The following is a 15,616-nucleotide window of genomic DNA, read 5'->3' on the forward strand; positions in this document are numbered from 1 at the left end:
CTGATTTCTTGAACTTTTCTCAAAAGGCTGGGAATATCTAGTCCTGTTTTTCATTCAAATGTTTTTGATATGTCCTATTAGATCTGTTTTATATTTTGTTTTAATTTTCTCTGCATAGAACAGCCTTTTGAAAGTAAAAAATAAAATTTTTCACCATTTTAAAACATTAGGCAATATATGTTTGAAAAAGTTAAAAGTCACAAAGAGATCAAGACTGTTTAATAGTTACTTTTTTGAGGGAAATCCAGTCACATTTGCCTGTACCATTACATACACCATTACTTGGACATTCACACTCAATTGGGAACATAAATTACAAAAGAGAGAGGAACTTTTAAAACCACATTTAATTTTTAATACCAAATCTGTTGCACTATTACAGAAGTGACCCTTTCATGCACAGATAAATTTCGCATCTACCAGTATGGAAGAGGAAAAAATGTAGTTTTATTGTTCTCCCAAAATATTGGCAAATTTAAAGTAACTTTTAATCTTTGTGCTCTCTGATGCCAAGGCAAACCTGTTTTGTCTTTTTATATTTTCAAGAGACAGGTGGATCTGTGAAAAATGAATATAGAGACATGAAAGTATTTAGGGCCATCTTTACCTGGGATTACTTTAAATTATGCTTTACCTACATATATCAAACATGCCAGGTTACTAGGCCTACTGTGCCCCATAGGCAAAGCTCTGAAGATTTCATCGAAAAATCTGCTGTCAATACGTAGAAAAGTTCACTATTTCAGTTTCACAGCAAAAAAGGTGGGGGGAGGGGGGAACCCAATAGATATTTAAGTAGATGCTTTCCAATCCCATTCACTGCATTAATTAGCTTACCTCTTATACAGTACAACATAAACATTGCATGTTTATTTGTATGTAACACCTATAAGCATATAGCATCTACATTTTAAGTGTATTTACAAATTCAACAAAATATCTACATATAAAAAGCTTTACTTAAAATTAAACTTGATGCAAGTTATGAGAAACCAATTTATTGGCAAATGAAACTGAGCATTCCTTCAACCATAGGTTGTTATAGATTTTCATATTTGGAGGTAACCCATTTGATAGATATTGTTTATGAATACGATAGAATATATATTTACTTTTTAAACTGCAGATGTAATCCCTTGGACCGTTGGCCTTTTAAGCACTTGCCTGATTTCTTAGATTCTGAAATGTATCCATAACAATTTGCATACACGTTGTTTAATGCTGCAGAGTTTTGAACACTTACATAGGTAAAGTCTTGGAGAATAATATATTACTGTTGGCATGCTGTTGTATGCTTTTAGTGTTGGAATAACTTAGTTTTAAAATTAATTTTCTAGCATGTTGACATCTTTCTTACTGAATGTAATAGAAACCATAAAGGACCACAAAATCATCATGTGCTTCAGTTGGCAACAAAGATTTTCTTTTTATGCTTATGAGGAAATGCTATTTCTAATAAACTGTCTTATTTTTATTTTCATGTTTCCTTCTTTTCCCAGCATTGCAGTTTTCATGAACTCTGCTTTTTAAAAGTTACTTTTAGACAATGACAGTAATCTAGGACCCAGAATGGACTGGACCAGCTGATACAGAATGCACGATGTTGTGGAATGCTTAATATCTGAAGGCACTGTATGTGTCTTGCCCTGTGTTCTCTGAAATAATGTTTGAAATTTAATTTGGATGATTTGTTTTTGATTCTTTCAGTATGGCACAAATGCCGAAATGCACTGCAATACACATTGTTTATGCCTAAAAACAACCGAACATAGAAATGATGTAAAAAGTAGAACACTGTGCTGCTGTAATGCCTGGAAGATTAAGAAGCCTACGGAGTAACAGGAGCCAAGAGTAGGTAATAGTTCTCAGTAAGCATCAGCAATGTGACTGTCATAATGAACTCATTTAGCAAGTATATACTGTACAAACTGTTCCTAACAGTCTCCCAAAAAGACTAACGACAGCTATACATAGTCACCAATTTCACAACAATGTCCACAAAGACATTGAAGTTCTAGAGAATACTACAGTAACATTCTTGACAATGAAAACGGAATTCATATATAGGGGTTCAGCTGAGGGTAGTATAAACAAAGTATCAAACCATGTTTTCATAACATACACGGGTATGTCCTTTAAATGTGGAGCATTTTTCATGCATCATATTGAACTGTATCCTGCAGAGGAAATAACAGGATCTGTTGGTGATGTTGCATTATTTTTTATCAGTTCTGAGGAAATCAAGAATACCCATTTTGAATGAAAAAGTATGCACTTTGCATTCCAGTTCATATTAACATATCATTTGACTGAGTTATGTTTTTGCTGTAACTATTCTCATAATACTAACATACAGCAGAAAATATACTCTCTACCCATATGTTCATAGTATGAGAGGGCTGACAAACAAGTGCTTAGGATAAACATTCTAGAGAAATGGAATATTGGCAAAGAGCTTAAAAATTAAACAAAGGAATTCATGGCGTTGACAGGAGAAGGTGCCTCTGAGCTTTCGTTTCCTTCAGCCGGCTCTTTCTCTTTCTTACCACTGTATTGTCCAATAAAGGAGCCATCCTCATTGAACTGGCCATTAACCCCTTCTCCATAGTCAACTAGGCTGTCGTCACTATCTTCTTTTTTCACAGTCCTGTCTGAAGGAGTTCGACTTCCTTTTTTCAAAGGCTTGTGGTCTTCTGCATCACTGGAAGAAAGAGAAAACATTTTTGTCAAGATTGGCATTTAGGTAACATTTTCTGTTTTTAAAGACCATGCATGCAAATTATGAGAAAGCATTTGGAGTCCTGGGCTTCTCTGGCCAAATCTAATTTTCAGGTTGACTCCAATGACGAGGATGAGTTGGAATGGAAATCAGGAGCAGAAATGGTTGAATCATGAAGTCTTCAGTAGAGTGGATGGCTCCCAATAGTGTTTGTTAATTTCAATGACAAATTCTGATTCCTGAGTTGAAAGCAATCCAGAAATAATCACAAGCATTAAATAAGAAAGAATTCAGAAAAGTAGAAAAATCATCACTATTTTGAATTCAAAAAGGCAAAAGCTTATGGCAAGTAAAGAAGTTAGTATGTTAAACTGCATAATATCTCTGATTCCTTGGTTGTGAATGGAGCATGATTTTGGTTAAGTGTGAAATGTGGATTTTTTTTTTCTGAGCCAGAAGGAGAAGCAAAATCCTGCATTTCAAATAATTTTGTTATCAATGCAGGCCAGACTGTAAACTTCAACCTTACCTTTCAAGAGACCTACAAAATTCCATTAAAAGGATGCAGAAGAAACAAATGAAAACAGCCTAAGAAGAAAAGCAAAATCCTTATACTGATAGTACACAGTATTTTTTTGTTTTTTTGGTAAAAATTTTAGTTAATGAGTAAAGATTTATTAATCTGGAAAGAGACGCACTTTAACTTAAAAGCTCTACATTTGTACTATGAATGGCATGCCAATATATTCTAAAGAATGTGAATGACTCCAAACATGTAATAGCAAATGCTTCCTACACTCATGTTAACCCCCCAGCTCCCTTCTTCCTTGTGTGTTATGCAGCCTGACTATACTGGATGGGAATCTGAGGAGTGTACTTTAATACGACTTTACAAGATTCCATTATTACAATTTTTGCTTATTTCTCTGTTGAACCCGTAAGCACAATTTCTGGAAGACAAAGAGTAATCATTATGTTTTTGAATGTTCACCCATACGGTCAAATACCTAGTTATGCATATTGACCTATTTTTTAATAGGTAACATTTGGGAAAAAAATAGAAAAAGGCAATGACAGGATCTAACATTTTGTTTTCTTTCAAAGAACAAAAATGCAAGGCAAAATAGGAAACATATACATTTTTACTAATGTAAAAATGAAAAAGCCTTAACATACAAAAGGTATCACTGGCTGCAGTATTTAATCTAGCAATTTCTGCTAAGACTTTACTGCTCCCTCTGTTTCAGACAGTGACTTTTTTTTTCAAGCCAAGATACAAACATTTCAAGATGCACAAGTATCCTGGCTCTTTTGACAATAACTTTTACTAGGGATTTCAATTTTTCTCCAAGAAGAAAATCTGAAGACTGGGAAATAATGCTAGCATAATATGACACTGGCATATGCCACTGAAAACAACCTGTTTCAGTAATACACAATTTCTTATTGCAAACTGAATAAACTATATTTTCACCACTGCTAATAAACAACTGGAGAGGTATCATCTTGGGGTGGTCTGTGTTTGTGAGCATTTCAGAGGACATAGCATTGAGTGTCTAACCTGTTATGAAAATAGCCTACACAACATCTCTGGGGTTTAATTATTAAATCCTTCTTGTGAAATATAGTTCATGTTTCAGTGTGACAGTTAATTCAGCTGAAGAGTTCAATAACAGGCAGAATTTGTCACCTGGATTCCAATGACTAGTCTTATTCTGCTCTGTAGAACTAGTGTCCCAAGGAATACACTGCTGGAAATTTGTCATCTGTGGCATTTCTTTGGTCTAGCCATCTATCCACCCATGCCTTCATCCAATAAATGTTTATTGAGTGACTACTCTAAGATAGATTGTTCTCGGCACTGGGAATATAGCAGCAAACAAAACAGACTAAAACCCTCACCTCACTGGCTTTATTTCTAGTGGAAGAAAATACAATTAACAATCAACATAATAAAAAAAATTACATATATATTATGTCAGAAGAGGATTAGCACTATGCAAAGTATAGAGCTGAGTAAAGACTGCAGAAGGTGTTGGAGAAGGGATGGAGAGCTGGCATTTAATAAGATGTCCAGGAAGACCTCATCAAGCAGTAATATCTGGTCAACAACTTTAAAAGAGTTGAGTTAGCAAGGTGAATAGTTGGAGGGAGAGCAGTTCCTGCAGGAGTAACAAGCAGTATAAATGTCTCGGGGTGAGGGGAAGCCTGGCAGGTTCTAGGAACACTAAGGAGCTTGGTGTGGCTGGGGGGAGGGAGAGAGAGAGAGAGAAAAGTAGGAGTTAAGTAAGGGGAGTGGCACGGCTAAATCAGGGCTTGTGGAACATTGTAAGGACGCTGCCTTTAACTCTGAGTGAGACAGGAAGCCCTGGGAGGGTTTCAAAGAATAAGTGACATGCTCTGACTTATATTTTAAAAGCACTACTCTGCCATCAGTGTTGAGAATAGCCTACCTTAGAGGGCTGGGGTTGGTAAACTACAGTAAAATTAGGCCACGCCCATTTATCACATAATGTCTATGGCTGCTTTAGCACTACAATAGCAGAATTGCAGAGTTGCAGCAGAGACCGCGCGGCCTGTAAAGTCTAAAATATTTAGTTGGCCAACCTCTGCTCTATAGAGTCAGGGGAGAATATTACAATAATCCAGGAGTGAGATGACTGTGACTTGGACCAGAGTGGAACACTGGAGGTGGTATAAAATGCTCAGATTATGAACATATTTTGAAGGTAGAGCCAACAGGATTTTCTGATAGGTTAGACATGGAATAACAGAGAAAAAGATGGTGCCAGGATTTTTGGTTTGAGCAACAGGAAGCTTGGAAGTACTGTTACTATGGAGTGGAGCATGTTGGGAGGGGAAAATCAATGGTTCCATTTTGAGATATTAAAGTTTGAATATGTCATGAGAACCACTCCTTTAATCATTTTTTGAGGCTAGTATAACATTGATATCCAAAACCAATAAGAATGCTTTAAGAAAGTCAAACTACAGGCTAATCTCATTCATGAACATAGATGAAAAAACCCCAAACAAACCATGACCAAACCAAATTTAGCAATCTATGAAAAAGATAATATTTCATATCCAGGTTGGGTTTATTCCAAGAATGCAGGCTTATTTTAGCATTAAAACATCAATTCATATAATTCATTATTTTAGCAGAAGAAAATAAAAATATGATAATCTCAGTAAATTTAGAAAGAGGTATATGAAAAAACTCAACACCCATTCATGATAAAAACATTAGGAATAGAATGTATTTTTATTCCTAACATTAGGAATAGAATGTATCTTCATTAACCTGATTAAGGGTAGCAACAAGAAACCTAAAGTAAACATCATCCTTAATGGTGAACACTGAAAACTTTGTTTGAAATCAGAAATAATAATAATGATGGCTGCTATCACCACTTCTAATCAAAACTGAATTAAAAGTCCTAAGCAACTTGATAAGAAAAAGAAATAGATGAAAGGAAGCTATCATTATTCATAACTGATATGATTGTGCATATAAAAAATCCAGAAGAATCTACAGGTAAATGTTAGAATATAAAGAGATTTTAATAATGTTGCTTGATACAAGATTAGCATAAAAGTCAATTCTACTTATGTTCTTGCAAAAAATTAGGAAATAAAATTCAAAATATTATTCCATTTATGAGACCATAAACATGAAGTATATAAAGACAAATCCAACAAAAATATGTGTAAGACCTCCGAAGAAAATAAAACTTTCAGAGTTATTAAAGAAGATCTGAATGAATGGAGGAATGTTCTACATCCATGGATAGAAGACTCAAATATAGTAAATATGTTAACCTTCCCCATATTGCCCTTTAGCTGCAATTTATTTCCAGTAACAGCTCAGCAGGTTTTTATGTGGATCTTGGCAGGCTGATTCTATGATGTACAAATAAATGAAAAGGGCTAAGAATATTTAAAAGGTTCTTGAAGAAGACAACTAAAGTTAGAGAACTGGACCTAGCAGATATCAAGACTTATTAAAACCTATATTATTAAGACATTATAGTCTTGGTGCAGAGATAGACAGATTGACCAATGGAATGGAATATAGGGTCTTGAAACTGGTGGAAGATCTTTTTGTTAGCTTTATTCCTATGTCATATTTTTATGCTATCATAACTAGAATAAGTTTTAAAGTCTTATTTTCCAATTGCTTGCTGATACATAGAAATATAAGACTTTTATGTTAATTTTGTGTCGAGCAACATTACTAAACTCTCTTATTATAATATTTGCTTGTTGATTCATGTGGGTTTTTACATACAAAATCATAACAGTTATCATTAATGACCAGCCAAGAAGGGGCTCCCCCAAAACATCCATTCACGCCAGCTTAACGGCTGTGGTGGAGGAGAGAATCAACAGCAACACGGGCTGTGCTTGAAAGAAGAGAAGGAAGTGGGATTCTCCCTCCTCCAACAGAGTCTTTCCAGGAAAAGCCATTCAAAGGCAGTGAGATCTTTTGAAGACCAGTCTTTAATAAGTGGTGTGATATAATATCATATACTTCAATAATTAGAATCCGGTTAAATGAGAAAAAATTATATAAGTCATACACACAGTGCTGGGTTTGTGTTCAACAAGCATACATGTCCATCTCCCATCACATCTCTTCTCTCCACTCCAGGTCCCTACTTCAGAGAGATTTTTTTTTCCTAAGAAATACCTTGTGCAACACACACGCGGAACTTTCCAGGTGTAGTGAGTGGTTATGACTCTATGAGAAGCACAGTATGAGGGCTTGCCTTTTTCAATTCCAAGATGAATTTTGTAATGAAATAGTAAATAACTTTTTGACATTGTATTCAGTGAAGTTGCCATGTCAAGTTTAAATATGAAAGGAGAGTTTCCCAAATGATATGAATCAAGAAGTCATAGAAGATGATTTAAAAGTCATATATATATATATACACACACACACACACACACACACACACACACACACACACACATATAGCAGACCTTGATTTTAATCAAGTTTTAATGGAGTAGGCAGCAGTAGTATTCAAAGCTTTACAAAACAGGTAAAAATTCATTCACATTTTAATGAGAAAGTTTAAGGATGGTGTGTATCAGACATTAATTATTAGTTTTGGATGTCAAAGGTTGAATGGATTTCAAAATAAAATATATACATATTATATAAATCATATTCACAGTGCTGGCATATATATATATGCACCTACAAAGTATCCAGTATACAAGTATTGATACAATATCAAGTATATTCTTGATACTTAGATTCATGAATCAGGATCATTGTGCAGTGGAAAGAAATGTTCCTATCACAATGCTAAAACTGCATGACTTCCCCTGGGAAGACTCCCTGTACCATCCTCCTCCTATGCTGCCCACCTGGCTTTACCTTCCTGCTTCTGTTCCCTTGGTACCTTAGTTATATCTCTTTCATAGCACTTTTCACACTCTGGTCATTGTTCTTTTACTTCCCTGCATCCATCACTAGGCTATAAACTCCCTGTGTGGGACCAAATTCTATTGGTTTGAATATTCCCAAGGCCTGGCATACAGTAGGCACTCATAAATACTGGCAGAATGAGTTCACTGTAAAATAATAGAGGAGACAGTGGGCATTTTAGAAAATTTTTTTAAAAATTCTAACATAAAACATTTCATTCCCTCAGTTTTATGACGGCAGACAAATCATTGGAATATATCCTTTCCTTTCTCTTTCCCTAAGAATAAATTTTTAGGGAGTTCAAATTGTTTTTCAATAGCACTTTGTTCAGAAGTGTGCACATCTGTTAAATCCTACTGAGTAAAATTCGGCAACAGCAGGTAAATCTGTGATAATTCTGTCTGATTTTCCTGTTGTTACCACCCTCCCATGGCCAAACCACATTGCAGCTCAAGTAACATTCATGACCCAAATACTCTTTCCTACCCACTCGCTAAAAGTCCATTATTATTTTACTCACAAGCCAGTTCACATTTGAGAGCAAAATAACTCTAATGTATATAACGAATGTGACACATCTTGGCATCATTCAAGCCTTATGAGCATGGGTTAGCATGCTTGCCACAAGCCCATGTTCACATGAATGACAAGATTCATGTGGCAAGAGCCACCAATTATGTAGTAAGTTATGAGTTCAAGTAACATGGGCATATGGTTTATGACCTAGGTTTATTCTGGTTTTAAGGAAAATGGATCTAAAGAATAAAAAAATACTTACACTCTTGGTTGCATTGTTTCTCTGATTTTTCTATATGCTAGTAAGGATGCAGATCCTACTGTCTGTATAATTAAAGAAACAAACAAAGAAAGCTGCAGGCTTCCAACAGAGGGTAACTGCTTGGGGGTGGGTGTCAGAGTAGGGGCACAGGGTTATAGCATATAATCACATTTGGCCACCAGTGAGGTTCTATCCCTCTTTGCACTATGAAATATCATCTGGCTTAGAGCCAGCCATGTAGAAACGGTTTCATCATCAAACTGGAGAATGAGCAAATCAGAAATGGAATTAATTTACACCTAGGCAATAGTCCTAATTTTGTATGTGTCTGGTCAGCATAATAATTTATTTTTGGAATGAAAGAGAATAAGAATCAATAAATAATACAGAGCTCAAAACTTCCAGAAAGTGCAAAACAGAGACAGGAACCTGGTGATCTCAGGAAGTGAATGACACTTAAATGTATTAAAAATAAAAGATTCTGTTAATAAACAGTTGGAACTGTTTTCATTAATTACAGCCTCTAAGATAATAAACACTTTTTGGATTTCTTCAAATAGAAAATAAACCAAAGGGAAAACATTCTGAGGTAGTGTCAGGAAATCAAAGGACAAAGCCGTATCTTTGTAAATCAAAGTAAAAAATGTGGTTGGAATTTTGGGGAAGTGATTTTGCTTGTGGGATTGTCCTTATGAACTTTTAGTTTCATTGAAAAAATTACATCATTGAGTTATGTTTCAAGTTGAAGACACCCATCAGAACCTTATTTCCCTTAGCACCTCCCAAATTTATGTCATTACATGTATGACAAATGTACAAGTGTTTTTGTCTTCGTGTCAATTGGGTTTGCACTCAATAAGCCCAAATGCAAAGTCTTTCTTTCCTGAGAAACTAAGGCCTAAAGACAGCTATTTGAAAACACTTTACCAACATAGCACATATAAATTAACACTAAGACAAAGACATATGACCAAATAGATGTAAACACAGTGCTTATGAGGCCAGTAACCAAATACTTGCCACGTACTGCTCCAGACACAAAATTCTATTAAAGTTGTTAGTAGATGGCTCATAGAAGAAAACAGAAATCATAGAACTATGAATCACAGGCAATGGCTGAGTTGAAAGTAAAACTAACAGTCTTTTGATTCCAAGCTAGTTCATAAAACTCAACCTCCATTTTTTAGAACAGATCCAGGGGGTACATGTGCAAGTTTGTTACGTGGATACATTGTATAGTGGTGGGGTTTGGGCTTCCAGTATACCATCACCCAAATATCAACCTTGATTTTAGTCAAGTTTTAATGGAGTAGGCAGCAGTTATCTGGGAAAGTCACATGACCTCAGATCATGGTTTCACATCGCTGTAAGAGCAAGCTGATGTTTGAGACCCAGGTGGTGAGTAGTATGTTGCTAGATTCACTGAGGCATGATAATGTAGAACAGGAACCCATCACCATGTGGAGAATGTATGAAGGACAATGCTTTATTTCCAATTCATGCAAATACATTTTTTTTCAGGGCCACATTAAAGATTTTGCTTCATCACAATACATAAGGGAGTGGTATGCATATCCTGTAGATAATTACAGCCACAAGAACTCTTAGAAATAAGAAGTTATTTAGTAATTGTAAGCTTACCTGCTTTACAGGAGAAACATGTAGAAGGGTGAATTATTTCAGCAAAGTTCTACTCATCCAGATGCCCTAGGCTACGGGCTTCTGTAGGCTGCTCTAATGTGTTACAAAACCCTCTTGGGTGAACTGGGTGTGGACGCTGCATGAGGTTTTCATACACCTTCAGCTCCAGAACCAACTTCTGACATCAAGACAACCCTCACTATGCATTTTTCTGTACCATGAGATACAGAAATTCTGAGAACTTTTTGAAACCATAGTTATCTCTCTTTAAGAGATCACAATATAAAAACTTAGGGGCTGAGATAATAAAGGAAAAACACAGGTATCTGCCTGGAAAATGATATGAAAATGATTTTATTGAAAATATATGTCTTTTTCTCAATCAGTTCTACATTTTTTATCCTTAGGATTATGTCACATGAAATTCTATGATATTGACATGATAGTGACATGGAAAAACCAAAAATGAGCTCTAGAGACAGGTAAAACTTAACATAAATATCTTCTCTACAAATGTTGCCTGGTAATCCCAATAGTGAAATATTTTATTTCACCTAAAAGCCTCTTCATCTTGCAAACAATGTCTCAAAATGGGCTTAATGCATATTTAAAAGGTATTTTATATAAGCAAGGGGCTTCTAAAAAGAAAAAAACAAGGTACAAAAGGTATTTTAAAAAGGTATACTTTTAGAATAACAGAATGCCCACATTTTATTTAAATAAATACGTACTTTGTTTCTGTTTAATTTAAACAAATCTAAAGTAATCTTTTCCTTCTCTTGAAAAGATTTATCTTTGTTTAAAGAGAAGATTTTTAAAAAATTTAGCACATAGGTTATATTAACATTTTCCCTTAATGATGGAGTCAAGCCAAGAATGTATTATCAAAGTTCTGTGAGTAACACATTGCCTAGAGGGCTACGACATTTCTTAATAAGTAACAGCTTGTAAAACAATCTAGTCACCATTTCATGATTAAAGGGCAAGGGTATGGGTATTGTTTAGGAAAACTAGTTTCAAATTCTAGATGAAAAAGTGTGTTTACACTGGTTTTATTACAGCATGTTTAGAAGATAACAAGTATAGCTTTCTTTACAATGCAGGCATTGGAGGTTCTTTTTTGTTGTTTTAATGCTCATAGTAGCATATTGGCTTTGCTAGATTGATCAATACAGCATGGTCCCATGGAAAATATGACAAAGTGGGAGACATTCCATCTCCAAAATTATGACTAAAATCAAAATTTAGTTTTTCAATGAAAAATGAAAATGTTTGACCATGAGGGACATGTAAACACTGATACATGGAAGTATCCCTAAACTTCTATTTGAGGAAAATATGAGATGCCAGGCAGAGCATATTCTGGCTGAGTTCTATTCTCGGGACTGTGTTCATGTGGGCAGAGAAGATGAAGAGCAGAGAAGCAGGGGCTCACCTGTATTCTCCAAATGTCCCATCATCTTCCTTCATAGGCTGGATTTCAGGGTCAGCATGGGCATCTTCCTTTTCTTTAACTAAAAAATGCCAAAATGGTATTATTATCTGTTGATCCTGTTCTTTCTTATTCAAAGTCCATGAAAGCATTCTTTGAGATATACAGCAGTGAAAAATAATTCCATACACAAGTAGATGTTGTATAACCATATATATGGTGGCCATGCATATATTTTGGTATTTTAGTTATTTTTGAGGCAACCCAATAGAATGTACATTTTTTAACACATAAAGTTGACTAGTTTCTCACCTGATAAATAATTTTTAAGTTTCTAAGATTTCCCCCTATTTTACCAATCTATTTGTTAACTATATTAATGGTTGAAAATTGTTTTTGTAAGAGTATTCTCTCACAGATTTTTTTTTTCTTGTCACTGAAGGGAAAATGGTCAGGTAAAGAAAATATAAATTTAATGGGCCCACTAAATTGAATAAACCATTACCTTATAGGGAAAGCAATGTTACACATCACAATATGAAGACTTAGTTCATGCATTACTTCCTTTGAAAAACTCCATGAACCTTCCCTGCAACTCTCTCCTTGCCAGTTGGTTTTAGGTGTTACTTCAGCATCCATAACCTATGTGGAGTCTAAGAAAGTAGGCTCACTAATGTTTTCAGAGAACTGATTGATTTACTCCTCCAAATGCCTTATGATCATTGACAATGTTTAGATTGCCATTATATAAAAAGGGATCAAAAGTCATTTGAAGAGAAAGTCCAAACTCATGGCTCTGGGAAGACAAAATATTACAATCTACATGATTTCCCCCATGATCTTTTTAGTTTAATGGATTATTATGTAGCATTATAAAGCAATTTTAATCTTTCTTTCTTACCTGGATATTTACCACCCTTGTTTCTTCTGATGAAGCAAACAATCAGCAAAATTAAGATAAGGAGAGCAACAGCACACATCAGACCAATGAACCAGCCCTGAGTTGCAATATCCACCTGCCGGCTTGCCATCGCTGGAAAACAAATCAATGGTGTTGGTGGCAATAGGTTAAGGGGAGATGGGAACTGCTGCAGTCTCTCAGAGTAAAAAATTGCCACGTTATGTGAGCTTTCATATATTTTACATGTGGCCCCAAATTAGGATCTGTCAATTATTAATCAGGAATTATATGAATAATTAACTTTGAAAAATCTTCATTCATTAAAAAATTCAAGTAGAGAAATCTGAATAATCATCACATTAAATGCTAAAAACCCCTGGTGAACACTGTGTTCACAGTTATTTTCACTATATATTCTCAATAAAAACAAATTCCCAAACCAATTAAAGTATTCACTGTTAACAGGATACATTTTACATTAAGTATAATGAGAAAAATACAAAACTGAGTTTTAAACAGAACAGAATGTATACATCTAATTGAGTATTTTCTCTTCAAAGGAACTGCTTTTAGAGGCTAAACTGTCCTTGCAAGGCTGTTGCCATTTTCAGTATTTTTTAGAAATCTGTTAAAAAAGAAAACGGTCCACACAAGAAACCTTTCCAGATCAGGAAAACAGCCATATTGTTTTATATAACATCTCAATTTGCACCCAAAATATTACTTAGATTTGTTATTCATCTCATTCACAAGAGTTGGTTCTGAGTGGAAATTTCTGAAAAACCAAATCCACCCTCAAAGAATCAATATTCGTTATTGCTAAGGATCCATTCAAAAGACCGGAATATCTCTCAGTCAGTGAACTCATTATTTGCCTACATGACCAGTTTGAAAAGAAAGTACTCACTTAGGTGTATACATATCCTTTCAGTTTGCATCTATTCTGTTTAATAAATGTGAAACCCCTTATTCCATCAGTCATAATATGCAAAATTTCTAAGAAAACCACAGAATAATGAGCATTTCGGGTATTATTTTAAAGTATCAATCTTATGGGAAAAAGTGCAGCATCAATGGCTATTCAGACATGCCCATGCAGATTTGCTTAATTAACTAGTATAAATTCTTTTTTAAAAGACCTTTATTTTCTCTCTTTTGACCATAATCAAGATAAAACATTTTCTTCTTTTGACTCTATAAGCATGCTTATATCATGCTTTTAATTTGACTGAATTTCTTCCGAATATATTTTACACAGTTGAGTTAGGTGTGTGTGATCTCTGGATGCAGAAATAAACATGACTACGCATATCCCAGGTTCAGCTAATGTTGCAAAAATAGCATCTCATTGCCTCTTTTTCTCCATACAAAGTTTAGGGAGAAAAAGGAAATGCTAAAAATCAAGTGTGAAGAGGAAGGTTAAAAAAAATATGGACATATGTAGAAGAAATAAAATGAGAAGCAAAAATACCTTATTTGAAATACAAGTCAAAGGCTGGTAGCCTTTTCCCAATAGGCCCTCGTGCCTTATTAGAGAAGTTTTGAGCTGTATCATAGCCACACACAAGTAAAGCATCAGTTTAGGCAGTTTCCCCTTTCCATACACATACCATAGTCATGATGATGAAGATGAGGACAATGGTAATAGCACTGATGGCTAACAGTTTTGGACCCTTACCATAGGCTAGGCACTGTGCTGAAGGCACATCTCATTTAATCTTTACAACAATTCTCTGAGGTAGGCATCAGAAATAAATCCATGCCCAGAGAAGGTTAAGAACTTGCCCAAGAGTTGGAGCAACCTGTGTCTGACTCCAGAAAATATGCTACTAGCCATTATATTATACTGCTGTAATGCATTCCTAAAAACAATCCAGATACCAAATCTGCAAAAATCTTAAGTTAAAGAATAAAATGCTATAGGCACTTCCTATTCTGAGACAGGCAAAAAGGTATTAAAAGTCCATCATTACATCCTCTTTGGCAACATATTTCTTTCAATTAATGCCTGGTCTGTGCTTTTTCTTCAAAACTGAACCAAAAACCAAATGGCATTAAGTCTCTTAAGCATTTGACTATAGTTCTTGTTTTCAGTGTGCTGATTTACAGCCTTGTCATAAATACATTCAGCATTTACATTTTTCATCTAATTAAATGCAACTAAAAAGGGAAAAACAAGATACTCAGGTACTAGCAGAGATATTGTTCTACAAGGATGGTGACTGCCAAAATCGAACTACTGACTGGCAGTTTGCTGCTATGCAACCATGGAAAAACTGGATGGATGTTTGATGGGTGGTACACAAACATCCACATTCACTGACTTTGAATTTCTGCCTCTGTGTCTAAAGAAAAAAGTATCGAATATTTCACTGCCCTATTATTTAAAATAGGCAGACACAATATGGTAATAGGTGCATGTGTGCACACACACAGTCACATTCACACACACACAAGTACACCAGAAATTGATATAAAACAGAAACTGTGTAAATGGAATAAAAATTTCTATTGACTTTCCATCCATAAAAGAAAAGATTTAAATTCCAGAATGATTAAAATAGGCATGAAGCCTTTTCAGGACAATCTAAAATCACCTGGGACATACAAATCCAAGCCATAACCATGATCATGCATCACACACACATACACACACATGCGCATACACACACATATACCCCACAGAGAGAGAATTAAACCTA

At 35.0% G+C, this 15,616-nt stretch overlaps 1 protein-coding gene across 107 annotated transcripts in view; it reads right to left on the minus strand.

Moving 5' to 3' along the window:
* The window catches only part of NRCAM (neuronal cell adhesion molecule), a 309,072-nt gene continuing 293,658 nt past the window's right edge, over positions 203-15,616 (minus strand). For 75 of the 107 annotated variants that reach the window (NR_163870.1, NM_001371122.1, NM_001371124.1 and 72 more), the window contains 3 exons: positions 12,915-13,046; positions 12,017-12,095; positions 203-2,701 (listed from right to left, as the gene is read on the minus strand). Coding sequence is in view for 102 of the 107 variants with exons in the window: in NM_001371122.1 (NP_001358051.1) it covers positions 2,464-2,701; positions 12,017-12,095; positions 12,915-13,046 (449 nt within the window). In the remaining 5 variants the exon portion in view is untranslated. Of the gene's footprint in view, positions 2,702-3,248; positions 3,308-8,940; positions 9,003-12,016; positions 12,096-12,914; positions 13,047-15,616 lie in introns of those variants that run through there. The other 32 variants (NM_001371170.1, XM_011516268.3, XM_017012239.3 and 29 more) reach the window with 4 other exon arrangements.

This window comes from Homo sapiens, chromosome 7 (assembly GCF_000001405.40).
Source record: "Homo sapiens chromosome 7, GRCh38.p14 Primary Assembly".
Lineage (NCBI taxonomy): Eukaryota > Metazoa > Chordata > Mammalia > Primates > Hominidae > Homo > Homo sapiens.